Source organism: Homo sapiens, chromosome 7 (assembly GCF_000001405.40).
Source record: "Homo sapiens chromosome 7, GRCh38.p14 Primary Assembly".
Lineage (NCBI taxonomy): Eukaryota > Metazoa > Chordata > Mammalia > Primates > Hominidae > Homo > Homo sapiens.
Genome location: NC_000007.14, coordinates 69,334,173 through 69,350,886, shown reverse-complemented (window position 1 = coordinate 69,350,886; position 16,714 = coordinate 69,334,173). Strand labels below are relative to the sequence as shown.

The 16,714-nt window shown below is 44.5% G+C and overlaps 1 annotated feature.

Annotated features, from left to right (window-relative positions):
• Positions 1,046 to 1,888: an enhancer, noted in NCBI's record as "OCT4-NANOG hESC enhancer chr7:68813985-68814827 (GRCh37/hg19 assembly coordinates)". NCBI's record gives its function as "activates a minimal SCP1, AML or CMV promoter by ChIP-STARR-seq in naive and primed H9 embryonic stem cells {active_cell/tissue: H9 hESC(naive and primed)}" and the evidence as "EXISTENCE:reporter gene assay evidence [ECO:0000049][PMID:30033119]".

Sequence of the window (16,714 nt, the reverse complement as noted above, 5' to 3'; positions counted from 1 at the left end):
AAAAAAAAAAAAAGAAAGAAAGAAAGAAAGAAAGAAAAAATTACTTAAATGGCAAGAGAAGCTGTGGGAGAGAACATGTGTGGGGTGTAGCGTGTGAACGTGTGTGAGACTGTGCACATAAGTGTGTTTATGGCTGCTTGCACCCTCATAGGGTGAGGTGAAGGAAAATAAAGGGCATAAATCCAATCCTGCTATTCCTGGAGCATCTTCAGAGTTTGAGTCTAAAGATTAGAGTTGAACTCTGACAATTGATTCATTATTTAATCCTTTAATTGATGACCATGGCAGAAAGATGACAGCAGCACATCCTTGGCAGGGAGGCAAGTTCCATCTATTTGTTTATTACTGTTGGACAATTTATCTAGTGGAGAGAGAGTGATGGGAGGCCACCATGCGTCATGGTTCAGAATGTTGTTATAAATAACAATTAATCCACTTAGAGATCTGGCTCCATTCAACCTGGAGAATCCCATTAGATGTAAAAGATTCTGGAGGAGAAGGTTGAGGAACAGAGTTTTCCATTTTCTCAGCTCACTCTCACTGTCTGGTCATCCTGGAAGTGCCTGAGGTTTTCCAAGATGATGAATATTCAAGCAGTATTGGTACCATCTCTTAACTTCTATTGTTTTATGGCCAGCATTCCTTCCTGGCAGTCAATCACATATTACTTTGGAATGTTTCTTGAATTACTATGTTAAGCTATTAAAATTTCTATTATTCATTTATTATCTCTCTCTCTCTCTATTTTTTTTTTTTTTTGAGACAGTCTCACTCTGTTGCCCAGGCTGGAGTACAAGTGGCACAATCTTGGCTCACTGCAGCCTCTGCCTCCCGGGTTCAAGTGATTCTCCTGCCTCACCCTCCCGAGTAGCAGGGATTACAGGCACCTGCCACCACGCCTGGCTAATTTTTGTATTTTTTGTAGAGGCGGGGTTTCACTATGTTGGCTAGGCTGGTCTCGAACTCCTGACCTCAGATGATCTACCCACCTTGACCTCCCAAAGTGCTGGGATTACAGGTGTGAGCTACCGTGCCCGGCCGAAGTCTTCTTTCCCTTACTGCTTGGGCTCTGACACTGTCACATATATTCTTAGGCCAGAATTATGTTTTTTGGTCATTTTTCATTTCTTATCTCAATGTAAAATGCTATACTTTCCCTTTTCTAGTAACATATCACATAAATCTTCATCACACCACCTCACAGGTGGAGGGAGAGTAACTTGTTGAAACCAGAGTCTTCGAGGCAGGTCATGGTTTTGTTGAGATTTCAAGGGTTAATCTCTGGAGTGACCCCAGATTGCTTCCCCAAAGGTGCCATTAGCCCAGGCTCTCTAGGACTTTCCAGCCTTTTCTGCTGCAGTTGTAACTGATAAGTGGCTGCTTTGTCATGTGAACAGGAAGATAAAAAGGCACTCAGGTTTAGCACTGCATGTAAAATAGGAATCACTTGAATGTCGTGGCCATTGTCATCAAATCGATCTGAGTCCATCCTCTGTAAAGGCTTTCCATTACTAAAACAAAAGGGAAAAAAGCCATGAGCTTTCCAGTGTTTATTTATTCAAGGAGCCTTGAAGTACAAGTGGCAGCATTCAGAACGCTGAAGATAGTGCTTCCGTGCTGATTGATTTCATTGTTTTGGGGTTACACTTCTGCAGTGAATGGGAACCTGTGAAGATACGAAATGCATAAGTAAACCTCCGTGGAAAATTAATTTCAGCTGCGCATCACCTACCTCCAGGTTCAAACTGTCTTTATATTTTGCTCCTTGTGTTTTAAAGCTGCAAATAAGAGTTAGTGACTCACTCCTGCTTTGCAAATGATTTTGGTGTCATAAATAGTACCTCTTTCAAATTTGTGGCCACTTAGGTTCTCCAGCCTTTATCCAATTTGGATCATCTCTTAAAGCGTGAGAAGGCCGGTGTGTCACCTAAAACCAGGAAGTTAAAAAACAAAACCAAACCATACAACACTTCTTTTTTATTGCAAAAATAATGCAGGTTCATTTTAGAAAAATTGGAGAGTACAGTTGTATTGTGCCTCACTTTATCGTGCTTTGCAGATATTATGTTTTTCTTACAAATTGAGGGTTTGTGGCAACTTTGCATCGAGCAAGTCTCTGCCATTTTTCCAACAGCATGCACTTACTTCGTGTCTCTGTGATATATGTTGGGTATTTTCACAATATTTCAAACTTTTCCATTATTATTATGTTATTGTAAGCTGTGATCGGTGATTTTGGTGTTAATTATTGTACTTGTTTTGGGGCACCATGAACCACTCCCATATAAGACAGCAAACTTAATTGATAAATGTTGTGTGTATTTATCGGCCATTCCCTGTCTCTCTACCTCTCCTCTGGCCCTTCAGCCTCTGAGACACAGCAATATTGAAATTAGGCCAATTAATAATTCTAAGAGTGAAAAGGAGAACCCCCAGTCTTTCACTTTATTCTTTTAAATGTAAATTAAATTTATTTCTTTTTAACTTTTATTTATTTTATATTTATTTATTTATGCATTTATTTATTTTTGAGAGGGAGTCTCGCTCTGTTGCCCAGGCTGGAGTGCAGTGGCGCGATTTCAGCTCGCTGCAAGCTCCACCTCCCGGGTTCACGCCATTCTTCTGCCTCAGCCTCCCGGGTAGCTGGGACTACAGGTGCCCGCCACCACGCCCAGCTAATTTTTTTGTATTTTTAGTAGAGGTGGGGTTTCACCACGTTAACCAGGATGGTCTCGATCTCCTGACCTCCGCCTCCCAAAGTGCTGGGATTACAGGCATGAGCCACCGCGCCCCCACTGCGCCCGGCCTTCTTAACTTTTATTTAAGTTTAGGGGTGCATGTGCAGGTTTGTTACACAGGTAAACCTGTGTCATGGGGGTTTGCTGTACAGATCATTTCATCACCCAGGTATTAAGCCTAGTACACATTAGTTGTTTTTCCGGATCCTCTCCCTCCTCCTACTCTCCATCCTCGGAAAGGCCCTAGTGTGTGTTGTTCCCTTCTGTGTGTCCATGTGTTCTCATCATTTAGTGACCACTTATGAGTGAGAACATGTGGTATTTGGTTTTCTGTTCCTGCGTTAGTTTGCTAAGGATAACGGCCTTCAGCTCCATCCATGTTCCTGCACAGGACATGATCTCATTCTTCTTTAATGGCTGTGTAATATTTCATGGTGTATATGTACCATATTTTCTTTATCCAGTCTATCATTGATGGGCATTTAGGTTGATTCCATGACTTTGCTATTGTCAATAGTGCTGCAGTGAACATACTCATGTGTGCATGTGTCTTTATTAAATTTTCTTTTGAGACAAGGTCTCTCTCTGCCATCCAGGCTGGAGTGCAATGGCACTATCGCAGCTCACTGCAGTCTCAATCTCCTGGGCTCAAGTGATCCTCTGACCTCAGCCTCCTGAGTAGCAGGGTGCATGCCACCATGCCTGGCTAATTTTTAAGTTTTTTGTAGAGAAAGGGTGTCCTGGCCTCAAGCAATCCTTCTGCCTTGGCCTCCTGAAGTGCTGGGATGACAGGCATGAGATACTCTGTCAGTCCAGGTTAAATCAAAAGCTAGAAATGATTAAGCTTAGTGATGAAAGCATGTCAAAAGCTGAGAGTGGCCAAAAGCTAGGCCCCTTGCACCAAACAGCCAAGTTGTGAATGCAGGGGAAAAATTCTTGAAGGAAATTAAAAGTGCTACTTCAGTGAACATAGAAATGATAAGAAAGCAAAGCAGCCCTGTTGCAGATATGGAGACAGTTTTACTGGTCTGGATAGAAGATCAAACCAGCCACAGCATTCCCTTATACCAAAGCCTAATTTAAAGGAAGCCCCTTAACACTGAGGCAAAACCCTCTGCCAGCAAAAAGGTTACGACTTGCTAAAGACTCAGACGATTGTTAGCATTTTTTTAGCAATAAAGTATTTCCAAATTAAGGTATGCATATTTTTTTTAGACACGATGCTATTGCACACTGAATAGACGGGAGTGTAGTGTAAACATCGTGTTTGCATGCACTAGGAGACGAAAAAATTTGTATAATTTGTTTTAGTGCCATGGTCTGTAACTGAACCTACAGTCTCTCCAAGGTATGTCTGTACTGACAAGCAAAAACAGAAAATAAAAGCCATCTGTAATGCAGCACCCAGAGATTACCACTGCCAACATTTTGGTAAATATTTTTTGTTTGTTTGTTTGTTTGAGAGGGAGTCTCTCTCTGTCGCACAGGCTGGAGTGCAGTGGTGCAATCTCAGCTCACTGCAACCTCTGCCTCCCAGGTTCAACCGATTCTCAGCCTCAGCCTCCTGAGTAGTTAGGATTACAGGCACCATATCACCACGCCCGGCTAATTTTTGTTTTCTGTTTTTGTTTTTTTGGAGACAGAGTTTTGCTTTTCTCACTCAGGCTGGAGTGCAATGGCATCTATCTTGGGTCACTGCAACCTCCGCCTCCCGGGTTCAAGTGATTCTCCTGCCTCAGCCTCCCGAGTAGCTGGGATTACAGGCACCCACCACCCACACCCAGCTAATTTTTGTATTTTTAGTAGAGATGGGGTTTCACCATGTTGACCAAGTTGGTCTCGGACTCCTGACCTTGTGATCCGCCTACCTTGGCCTCCCAAAGTGCTGGTAATTTTTGTATTTTAGTAAAGATGGTGTTTCACCTTGTTTGCCAGGATTGGTCTTGAACTCCTGACCTCAAGTGATCTGCCCACCTTGGCCTCCCAAAGTGCTGGGATTATAGGCATGAGTCACCGCGACCGGCGTAAATATGTTTTAAAAATCTCTCTGCATTTGTTTCTATTTCTCCCGACTCCAGACCCTTCTATGTCTATATATAAATGCACCCTTGCACACAATATATCTTGTCAGTAATTATGGGTCCCACACACTCCACTCTATAGTTTGGATTTTCTTAAAATATTTATTTTAATCATAAATTATTCTGTAGCATCAACTTTAATGATTGCCTCCTCCCTTTTAATGTTCTTTATGCAATAATGTTTAATTTTATTTCTTATAACAAAGGTATAGCTATAGTAAAAATCAAGCCAGAGAAATGCAGACATCATAGTAAGTTGACCAAGTTGGGCTGAGGATTCTATGTGTATTATCCTGTGAAGACAGGTTTTGTTGAGCAAAGATGAGTGTTGGTGCCAGGGATCTGAAATTGATCTGAAACCAACTGCATTTTTTTCAAAGCGGTTTAGGAGCAGTCACTTTGTATCTCTCTCTCTCTAACTTGAGAACAAATACAACTTCCTTCACTCCTTTTTTCCTCCAATATACCTAACAGAAACTAGTCAATACTTATTGATTGTGGAGCCATTTGTAGGCAATAATAAATTGGTAATACAACTTATTGCATTGAACATGAAGTGTTCTGAGTTTTCCAGTAAAAGGGGCTTTCTGGCTGGGCGTGGTGGCTCACTCCTGTAATCCCAGCACTTTGGGAGGCCAAGGCGGGCGGATCACGAGGTCAAGAGATCGAGACCATCCTGGCCAACGTGGTGAAACCTCGTCTCTACTAAAAATACAAAAATTAGCTGGGCATGGTGGTGTGCGCCTGTAGTCCCAGCTACTTGGGAGGTTGAGGCAGGAGAATCGGTTGAACCCGGGAGGTGGAGGTTGCAGTGAGCTGAGATCGTGCCTCTGCACTCCAGCCTGGCGACAGAGTGACACTGTCTCAGAAAAAAAAGAAAAAAAAATGGGACTTTCTTGGCTGCTAAACCCTTTCTCCTATTGTCATGCGTTGAACATCTATTCGATGTCTGGAGCTCTGGCAGCCATATTTTAATCTTGAGCTAAAAGAGAGTAAAAGGAGTTTCAATCTCTCTGATGGCATTATGGAGCAACTAAGCTGACAGTAGCAACTTTCCATCCCCAGGTTTGTTATATGAAAATAATAACCCCCAGTTGTTTATGTCACTATTAGTCAGTTACTCTGTTTCTTGAAGCTGAATATGTTCCTGAAGAACACACTAGTGGAGAGATTTAAATAAATGCAAATGGGGGCCAGGTGTGGTGGCTCACACTTGCAATCCCAGCACTTTGGGAGGCCGAGATAGGTGGATCACTTGAGGCCAGGAGTTCGAGACCAGCCTGGCCAACATGGTGAAACCCCATCTCTAGTAAAAATACAAAAATTAGCTGGATGCAGTGGTGTATGCCGTTAATCCCAGCTGCTTGGGAAGCTGAGGCAGGAGAATAACTTGAACCCGGGAGGTGGAGGTTGCAGTGAGCTGAGAGCCTGCCACTGCACTTCAGCCTGGGTGACAGAGTGAAACTCTGTCTCCAAAAAAAAAAAAAAAAAAATTGCAAATGATCAAAGATGTTTCTTAGGAACTGGTGAGAAGTTTGGCTGGAATGAAGGGTATATAAGGAGTCAGGGATATGAGGTTTCAGGAATAGATTGAGATCATATGTAGGGTTTATATGGGAAGCTTATCTGGAAGATTGAATGTAGTGGTGAGTTTATGCTCAATTTGGTAAACGGGAGGGAACTACTGGTGATTTGGGGGAAGAACTTAGGAAGTTTAAGTTGGTGGCAATAAGAGAGCTAGATTGGAGTGGAGAAAGATAGGGAGGGGTTAATCATTAGGAGGCTATTGCTGCAGTCCAGGTAAGAAGTGATGAAGAAGTGATGAAGGCCTTAAGTGAGGTGGTAGCTATTTTAGTTCACTTGGGCTACTATAACAAAATACCACAGGCCAGGCAGCTTAAACAATAGAAATTTATTTTTCATAGTTCTGGAGGCCGGGAAGTCCAAAATCAAGGTGCTGGTCAATTAGGTTCCTGGTGAGGGCTCTTTTCCTGGCTTGCAGATGGCCACCTTCTTGCTGTGTCTTCACATGGCAAGGAGAGGAAAGGAGAGGCAGAGAGCTCTGGTGACTCCTCTTTTTTTTATAAGGGCACTAGCCCTATTGGATTAGAGCCCCACTCTTATGACTTCATTTAACCTTTATCACCTCCTCATAGGTTCTATCTCCAAACAGTCACATTGGGGGTTAGGGCTTCAGCAAGTGAATTTTGGGGAGACACAAACATCCAGTCCGTAACAGTGACCACTGGATTGAAAGAAAGGGCTGGTGTCTGCAGGATTGCAGGGATAGATTCTACCAGACTTAACATTGATTGATGTGAGGGTGAAGGCAAGCAATGAATCAAAGATGTCTTTGAGTGTCCAGCTGAGTGACTGCAAGAATAGTGGTATCATGTACAGAATTAGGAGGCTTAGGAGAAAATAAAGGCTTTAGAAGAGTTGGGTTTTTAGGCCAATTGACCTGGAATGTTTAATACTTGTTAGACACTGGTCTTTTCAGTATATTATGCTGTTTAATTATCAGACCACCCCATGGGGTAGTGCTATGGTAATTTCCATTTTATAAATGATGAAACAGACATTTGTGGTATTCTAGGATGGAAAAATTATATCCCAGATTACGGGGAAAAAAAACCCCAAACCTGTCAAACTAGAATACCCAAGCTGCTACAGTGGCCTTTGTGAATTATGAAGAACATAAGTGGTTTGGAAAATTGGAGACAAGCAATTGGTGTTTGGTTTTCCAACTAAGAAAGAAGCTGGAATCTCGACTAAATAGCATTCAAGAATGCATAATTGTGCAATTTCAACACTCTGGGAGGCTAAGGCGGGAGGATCACTTTAGCCCAGGAATTTGAGGCTGCAGTGAGCTATGATCACACCACTGCACTCCAGCCTGGGCAACAGAGTGAGACCTTGACTTTTTTTTTTTTTTTTGAGATGGAGTCTCACTCAGTCGCCCAGGCTGGACTGCAGTGGCACAATCTCGGCTCACTGCAAGCTCCACCTCCCAGGTTCACACCATTCTCCTGCCTCAGCCTCCCGAGTAGCTGGGACTACAGGCGCCTGCTACTACGCCTGGCTAATTTTTTTGTATTTTTAGTAGAGACGGGGTTTCACCGTATTAGCCAGGATGGTCTCAATCTCCTGACCTCGTGATCTGCCTGTCTCAGCCTCCCAAAGTGCTGGGATTACAGGCGTGCACCACCACGCCCGGCAACTTTTTTTTTGTAAAAAAGGAATGCATAATGAAAGATTTAAGGGCTGGCATGTGAGCATTAAGCAAAGGAAGCCGCAGACACTAGCAACCAGCGTGGCTCCACCATGAGCAAGTTTTGTGTGATTAACTTCATCTGGAATGTTGAAAGCACAGTATTTCGCAAAAAAAGGGACAAGTGAATGGAAATAGTTACTGATTAAAGAGCTCCCCTTCAAAGGAATTGATTTAAAAGTAAATGCTAATCCAGTGGGAAGTGTCTAGTGACACGCTTTGGAGCTCTGCCCTTGCCTTCTGACTTTTTTCTTTCTAATCTGTGATTTGCATTAATACTTACAAAGAGTTTTATTAAATAATTGTACAACATGAAGCTGGGATCCTGGTAAGCATGTTGGATGATAAAAACCAATATCCTGAAAGTTGTAAACAGCAGGATGAAGGGGACAAATTTAACCAAAGCAATGCATTAGGGATAAGTGCAGGTCCTACTGCCCATGGCTGGAGAGACACGGCTTAACGGCATTACATGTGAAAAGGAGTGTTAGACTGGGCACAATGACTCATGCCTGTATTTCCAGTACTTTGAAAGGCCAAGGCAGGAGGATCACTTGAGGCCAGGAGTTCAAGCCCAACCTGGGCAACATAGTGAGACCTGTTTCTACAAAATATAAGAAAATTAGCCGTGCATGATTGTGCATGCTTATAGTCCCATTCAGGAGGCTGAGGCAGGAGGATGGCTCGAGTCCATAAGTTAGAGGCTGCAGGGAGCTATGATCACACTGCAGCACTCTGTCCAGGCTGACAGACCAAGACCATGTCTCAAAAAAAATGGTGGGATCCCACCTGTAATCCCAGAACTTTGGGAGGCTGAGGTGGGTAGATCACTTGAGATCAGGAGTTCGAGACTAGCCTTGCCAACATGGCAAAACTCTATTTCCACTAAAAATATGAAAATTAACTTGGTGTGGTGGCATGCGCCTGTAATCTTAGCTACTCAGGAGGCTGAGGCATGAGAATGGCTTGATCCTGGGAGGTGGAGGTTGCAATGAGCCAAGATTAGGGCCGCTGCACTTCAGCCTGGGTGAGAGAGTGAGACTATGTCTAAAAAAAAAAAAAAAAAAAAAAAAAAAAGCTGAGAATTAACTATGCAATATGGTTGAAAAAAGAGTAAATGTGACCTTGGCTACTGGTAAAGGTTCTGTCCTACCTTATTCTAGAGTTCACAGCAAAGTCACCTGAGATACCTTTCCAAAATGTAGTTCTGCTTCTGTTGCATAAATACTCTTGTTGGCTCCCTGCTAAGACTTCAAGGCTTAGCTTATCTATCTTGTCCCAACTGCTTATTTTTAGCCTTGTCATCTACACCACCTGCCCTCTGTGCATCTGATACATTGGTGTTACCAGAAAATTCCTTGACCTTGGATGATACCAGTTCCCTTCATGACAATGACTTCGCTCATTCTGGAATGAGCCTCAGGTGCCTCCCACTTAACTCTCCACCTCTCTGTTACAAAGCTTCACTTCTTAAGAGAGGGCTGGAAAGTCCCAGCCTCTGTAAAGTCTTCTCTGACTTCTGCTTCTCTAATCCAGCACCCAGTAGGACCTACTCTTCTTTCCATGATCACAGGACCCTTCGCATAGAGGTCCGCCCCGTGTCTCTGGATTATTCATTTACTTATTTGTCTCCCTTGAAGGAGTGATCAATTGGTAATCAGCTTTGTGTCCCTTGTGCATAGTTCAGTGTTCTGTTCTAGGAGCATTCAAACTTTTATTAAGCAGAATAAAAGGTGATTGACAAGTTTAAGTGATAGTTCTCCTTCTACTTCTATGGGACACAACTAGATTACTATCAGTACCCACTCTATAACTCTACTAGTCCCTTACTTACCAATAATTAAATGCTATGATGAAACAAAACAGGCTGGGCATGGTGGCTCACGCCTGTAATCCCAGCACTTTGGGAGGCCAAGGTGGGCAGATCACCTCAGGTCAGGAGTTCAAGGCCAGCCTGGCCAACATGGTAAAATCTGTCTCTACCACAAATAACAAAAATTAGCTAGGCGTGATGGTGCATGCCTGTAATCCCAGCTACTTGGGAGTCTGAGGCACGAGAATCACTTGAATCCAGGAGGTGGAGGTTGCAGTGAGCCAAGATCACACCACTGCACTCCAGCCTGGGTGACAGAGTGAGACTCCATCTCAAAAAAATAAATAAATAAACAAAACAGATGGATATGGCAAGGCAGGTGTGAATATCCTTTTAGGGAGGGAAAATGAAAGACTGATGGATAAATCTACATGCTATATATGCAACCATGATGGAGAGCACTTGACAGCCCTGGAGTCGGACAGTCCTGGGTTCAAGTTCACACTCTGCCATACCTGCAGAGTAACTCTGCGCAAACTACTTAACCTCTTTGATCTTTAGTTTTCCTATCCATAAAATGGGCACAGAATTCTCAAAGAATGGCTATGAGGATTAAATGAAATAATGGTGTAAAGCATCTAATGTGCTGCAATGGTGCACAGTAAGCCTCAGTAGCTGATGCTGGTTCTATGATGAACTGATCAAAGGATGGCTGGTCCCTGGCCAGGTAGACAGAGGACTTAGGACACTTGTTTAATATCTCAGGGAAGAGGAATTAGACTTGTTCTACATGGCTCCAAATGGAAGAACCCAACAGGCAAAAGCTGCAGGGAGAAAGAACTAAGCTCAACTTGAGTCCAGGGAGTCCTAGATTACCTGAGAAGGGTTTCTACAAAGGCAGCAAGTTCCCCGTCACCAGAGACATTCAAGCACAGCTTTCTGCTGCCCTGCTGGGAATGTTGCAGAGGAGACTCAACAATTAGGTGGGTAGTTGAACTAGAATTCCTCTACTCATGTTAAAACGTGATGATCTGTAGTTTTGGCTGAGGTGGGAGGCAATTCTACAATGGCAGTAACCAACTCATGTATTCTTTTTTTTTCTTCAACTTTTATTTTAAGTTCCTGGGTACATGTGCAGGATGTGCAGGTTTGTTACATAGGTAAACGTGTGCCATGGTGGTTTGCTGCACAGATCAACCCATTACCTAGGTATTACACCCAGCATCCTTTAGCTATTCTTCCTGATTCTCCCCCCTCCACAAACAGGTACCCGGTGTGGGTTGCTCCCCCTGCCCCGTGTGTCCATGTGTTCTTATCATTCAGTTCCCACTTATAAGTGAGAACATGCAGTGTTAGGTTTTCTGTTCCTGTGTTAGTTTGCAGAGGGAAATGGCTTCCATCTCCATCCACGTCCCTGCAAAGGACATGATCTCATTCCTTTTTATGGCTGCATAGTATTCCATGGTGCATAGGTACCACAGTTTCCTTATCCAGTCTATCATCGATGGGCATTTAAGTTGATTCCATGATGTTGCTATTTTAAATAGTGCTGCAATGAACATTCGTGGGCACGTTTCTTTATGTTAGAACGATGTATGTTCCTTTGTGCTCTTTAAAAGAACTTGGTAATGTTTGGCTCTTTTTTTTTTGATACAGAGTCTTGCTCTGTTGCCCAGGCTGGAGTGCAGTGGTGCGATCTCAGCTCACTGCAAGCTCCGCCCCCCGGGGTTCATGCCATTCTCCTGCCTCAGCCTCCCAAGTAGCTGGGACTACAGGCGCCCACCACCATGCCCGGCTAATTTTTTTGTATTTTTAGTACAGACGGGGTTTCACAGTGTTCGCCAGGTTGGTCTCGATCTCCTGACCTCGTGATTCCCCCGCCTCGGCCTCCCAAAATGCTGGGATTATGGGTGTGAGCCACTGACCCTGGCCATGTTTAGCTCTTGACTTCAAGAAGAATGGGCTTTCTTTGAACAATTAGAATCTGAAGGGATGTATGCCCTGGAGCCCTCAGAAGACCAGAGCACCCCTGTACTCTGAGGAGGGGCACTGCTGAAACCCATTACCTTCAACCCACCCTCAGACTCTAGCTCAGCCCCAGCCCATAAAACTTATTGGATAAATGTCTGAATATACGATTCTGTAAAGGGAAAAAGAAAAACCATCAGAATGCAAGTATCCATCATTGCTCAGCTGATCAACATCATGGTCCTGTTCTGGAATTTCTCTGCTAAAAATTCTTCTTGTGTTCACGGGATATTATAAATCTTTCAGAATATGTTAGAATCACATCTGAGTGCTGTCAGTTCTTATTATAAGCTGGGAGGAGGGAGGCTTTTTTGGGTGCATATGAGTAAAAAAAAAAAAAGTAAACTTCCTTCTGTTTCAGCCCACACCTCTTTGAAGGTCCTGGCATATGTTGGGTCTAACTCCAAACTACTACTAACATCTCCTGCCTCCGTGAATGATTTGCGTTCCTTTGGAGACAGCCTCCCAGGGGAAGTCCTGGAAACAGAACCCTCACTCCCCCTGTCTCCCCAAGAACAACACGAGTCAACAAATCTGGAATCCTTGCCTCTGTCCTCTCTTAAACAGTTGTTACTGAGAATCAAAGTCAGCCTACAGTGCATATGGCTTGATTCAAGCGTCCACACTGGGAGAACACAGCTTCAGGAATATATATAGCCCACTCCTGTCAGACTCCATCCCGTTGCTACTTATCACTCCATAAATCAGTAAACAGCCGTATGTCACCACCAGCACCAACAGTCAGCTGCGCAGATTCGAGTGGCTGAAATCTCCTTTCTAGTTCCTTTCAATTCCTGAGAGGGGGAGACTGTCAGGGGTTTTATTCCATTATTTTTGCTGTTGGGTGCCATGAACCCCCCAAATCTGAGACAGGTCTCAGTTAATTTAGAAAGTTTATTTTGCCGCCGGGCGCGGTGGCTCATGCCTGTAATCCCAGCACTTTGGGAGGCCGAGGAGGGCGGATCACGAGGTCAGGAGATGGGGACCATCCTGGCTAACACGGTGAAACCCCGTCTCCACTAAAAATACAAAAAAAATTAGCCCAGCACGGTGGCGGGCGCCTGTAGTCCCAGCTACTCGGGAGGCTGAGGCAGGAGAATGGCGTGAACCCGGGAGGCGGAGCTTGCAGTGAGCCAAGATAGCGCCACTGCAGTCCCGCCTGGGCCAAAGAGCGAGACTCCGCTCAAAAAAAAAAAAAAAAAAAAAAAAAGAAAGTTTATTTTGCCAAGGTTGAGGACGTGCGCCTGTGACACAGCCTCAGAAAGTCCTGACGTCATGTGCCCGAGGTGGTCAGGGCACAGTTTAGTTTTATACATTTAAGGAAGACATGAGACAGCAATCAATATATGTAAGAAGTACAGTGGTTCGGTCTGGAAAGGCGGAACAACTTGAAGCAAAGGCAGGAAGACTTCCAGGTCACAGGTAGGGGAGAGAGGAATGGTTGCATTCTGACTTTCTGACTAGCCTTTCCAAAGAAGGCAATCAGATATGCATCTATCTCAGTGAGCAGAGGGGTGACTTTGAATAGAATGGGAGGCAGATTGCCCCTAAGCAGGTCCCAGCTTGACTTTTCCCTTTCAGTTAGTGATTTGGGGGCCCCAAGATTTATTTTCCTTTCACAATGCTTCATGTGAGAACCCTGTAAGCTGGGCACACAGTCTTATCTCCAGAGCAATTTGGGACGTCAGGGAGGAGTGGTTCTGCTGTGGGTGGAAGATGACCTCTCTAGACCCCAAGGACACAAGGGAAGAGGAAGATTCAAGCCCGCTTGCTGCCTGGGTTTGTTTTGGTGTCCTGGTTCTCTTCTCAATGCCATGTGAAGCAGATGATATGATAAGATAGAGTCTGGGACAGCCAGGCTGGGAAGCAGCTCTGCCCTTAGAAAAGGCGAGTGGCAGGGCCCTGGAGAAGGGGCCATGAAGAGGCTGCTCATGGACCTCAAGGTAAAGAGACCAGAGGGGTCTCATGTGGGACTCAGCCTAGATCACCAGGTTAGGTGACTCATTAGGGACTTGAAGCAAAACCCTCAGCCCTGGAATTCCCAGGGAATGCAGTGGGGATGGTGGATGGTGGCCGTGGCCAGTGCTAGTCAAGGATTTAGGATCTATTTTTTCCACCCTTGTAAAGGCATTGTAAGTTACCTTTATGATAATTAACAGGCATTGCCCTTCAGCACAGAGGTGAGGAGTTTATGCATAGAAGATAGGGAATTTGGTATAGCCTTGTTAAGAGCAGCTCTGAGGCCTGCACAGTGGCTCAGTGGCTCGGTGGCTCAGTGGCTCACACCTGAAATCCCAGCACTTTGGGAGGCCGAGGTGGGCGGATCACCTGAGGTCAGGAGTTTGAGACCAGCCTGGCCAACATGGTGAAATCCCGTCTCTACTAAAAATACAAAAATTAGCCGGATGTGGTGGCAGGTGCCTGTAATCCCAGCTACGTGAGAGGCTGAGGCAGGAGAATCACTTGAACCCAGGAGGCGGAGGTTGCAGTGAGCTGAGACCCATGCCACTGCACTCCAGCCTGGCCCATAAGAGTGAGACTCTGTCTCAAAACAAAACAAAACAAAAAAGGGCAGCTCTGGTTTTCATTTGCAAAACTCAGGGAGCGGGGGAGAGAGAGAGAGTTTGTGCATTGATTTTTGATTAATCTAGGCTTGGCAGGGGAAAAAAGTGGATTCTTGAAAGGGCTGACTTCCAAATAAGTGGACTTCTTGCGTGAAATTGTTTTAGCATCTGTATTGTGGAGTGAGTTGGTATTAATGGAGGCAAATTTCATTTTATTCTCTTGTTTCATTTTTCCCATTTGGAGGGGCTGTTCCTTAGGAAAACATAGAAGATGGGCTCAAACATTAGGAGATGGTGGAATTTATACAAGAACAGGTGAAGTAGGATGGTGATGAGGGATCCGTGGGCACGTGGTGTGTGATCCTAGACTGAGTCATGGAACCAGTTGATGAAATTATCCAAAAGTGAGTGTTTGAGAAGAAAGCCAACAGCAACAACACACAACAATTTTCTTTCGCTAGGAACCAGGTCTGCTCATTGGAGGCTGAAAAGGAAAGTGAGGCTGGGTGCGGTGGCTCACTCCTGTAATCCCAGCACTTTGAGAGGCTGAGGTGGAAGGATCACCAGAGGTCAGGAGTTTGAGACCAGCCTGGCCAACATGGTGAAACCCTGTCTCTGCTAAAAATACAAAAATTAGCCGGGCCTGATGGTGGGTGCCTGTAATCGCTGCTACTCGGAAGGCTGAGGCAGGAGAATCACTTAAACCTGGGGGAGCGGAGGTTGTCGTGAGCCAAGATCGCGCATTGTACTCCAGCCTGGGCAACAAGAGCGAAACTCCATCTCAAAAAAAAAAAAAAAAAAAAAAAAAAGAATGAGGAGAATGCAGGAATTGTTGGTATGTGAGCAGAAAATACTCAGGTCTTCAGAGGCAATTTATGGGATTGGCTTAAAATAGTTTTTAAACTTCTAGGCCTAGAAAGACCTCTGGGAAGAGGAATGGAAGGAGAGAAAGATGCTGAGAGGCTGAAACAGGTTTATCTCAGACATGGGTGGGAGAAACAGGACCTCTCATCTAGAAGCAGGCCGATGGTTTAAAAAGTCTTGTGGGGCAGGTATGGTGGCTCATGCCTATAATCCTTGTGCTTTGGGGGAGCCTAGGGAGGGGGGATCACTTGAGGCCAGGAGTTTGAGACCAGCCTGGACAACATAGCAAGACCCCATCTCTACAAAAAAATTAGCTGGATGTGGTGGCATACACCTGTGGTCCCAGATACAGTGGAGGCTGAGGCAGGAAGATTGCTTGAGCCCAGGCGTTTGAGGCTGCAGTGAGCTGTGATCATGCCACTGCACTCTAGTCTGGGTGACAGAGTGATACTTTTCTCCAAAAAAAAAATTAAAAACAAAACAAAACAAAACCCAAAAAGTCATCTGAATCTGTATCCTGGGAAAGTAGAATTTGAGCTGTCAAGACTGGAGAATTCAGGACAAGAGTTATGGGATTTTGGACCTCACATTATGGCTGAGAGCAGTTTAAGGAATTCGCTGGAAACAGCTGAAAGTCAGAAATCTTTCAAGTGCGTTTCTCCAGCTGGGGCAAATATGAAAAAGAGGGAAGTTTTCCCTGGAGGCAGATGTTCCAGGATAAAGCTAAGGCATTCCAGAATGGAAGGAAGATTCAGTAGCCACAGAAACAGGGATGTTGCCCAGGAAAAAAAAAAAAAAAAAAGCCTTAAGAACTCACAGAAGCCGGGTGCGGTGGCTCGCACCTGTAATCCCAGCACTTTGGGAAGCCGAGAAGGGTGGATCACTTGAGGTCAGAAGTTCAAGACCAGCCTGGCGAAACCAGTATATGTTATCCCCATTAACAGGATTTTTGCCTAAATGAGCTATCATTCAAGAATTTACAAAAAATAACAGCCTTATTACCCCAACTATTATAGCTATTATAGCTTTACTCAACCTATACTTCTATATATGCCTAATTTATTTCACCCCAATAAAACTATTCCCACATCCAGTAACACGAAAATAAAATGATAGCTTGAAAACACAAAACCTATACTATTCGTATCTTCACTTATTATCTCTTCCACCCTCCTCCTACCTATCTCTCCGCTGCTACTGACTATGACTTAGAAATTTAGGTTACGGCCGGGCGCAGTGGCTCACGCCTGTAATCCCAGCACTTTGGGAGGCCGAGGCGGGCGGATCACGAGGTCAGGAGATCGAGACCATCCTCGCTAACACAGTGAAACCCCGTCTCTACTAAAAATACAAAA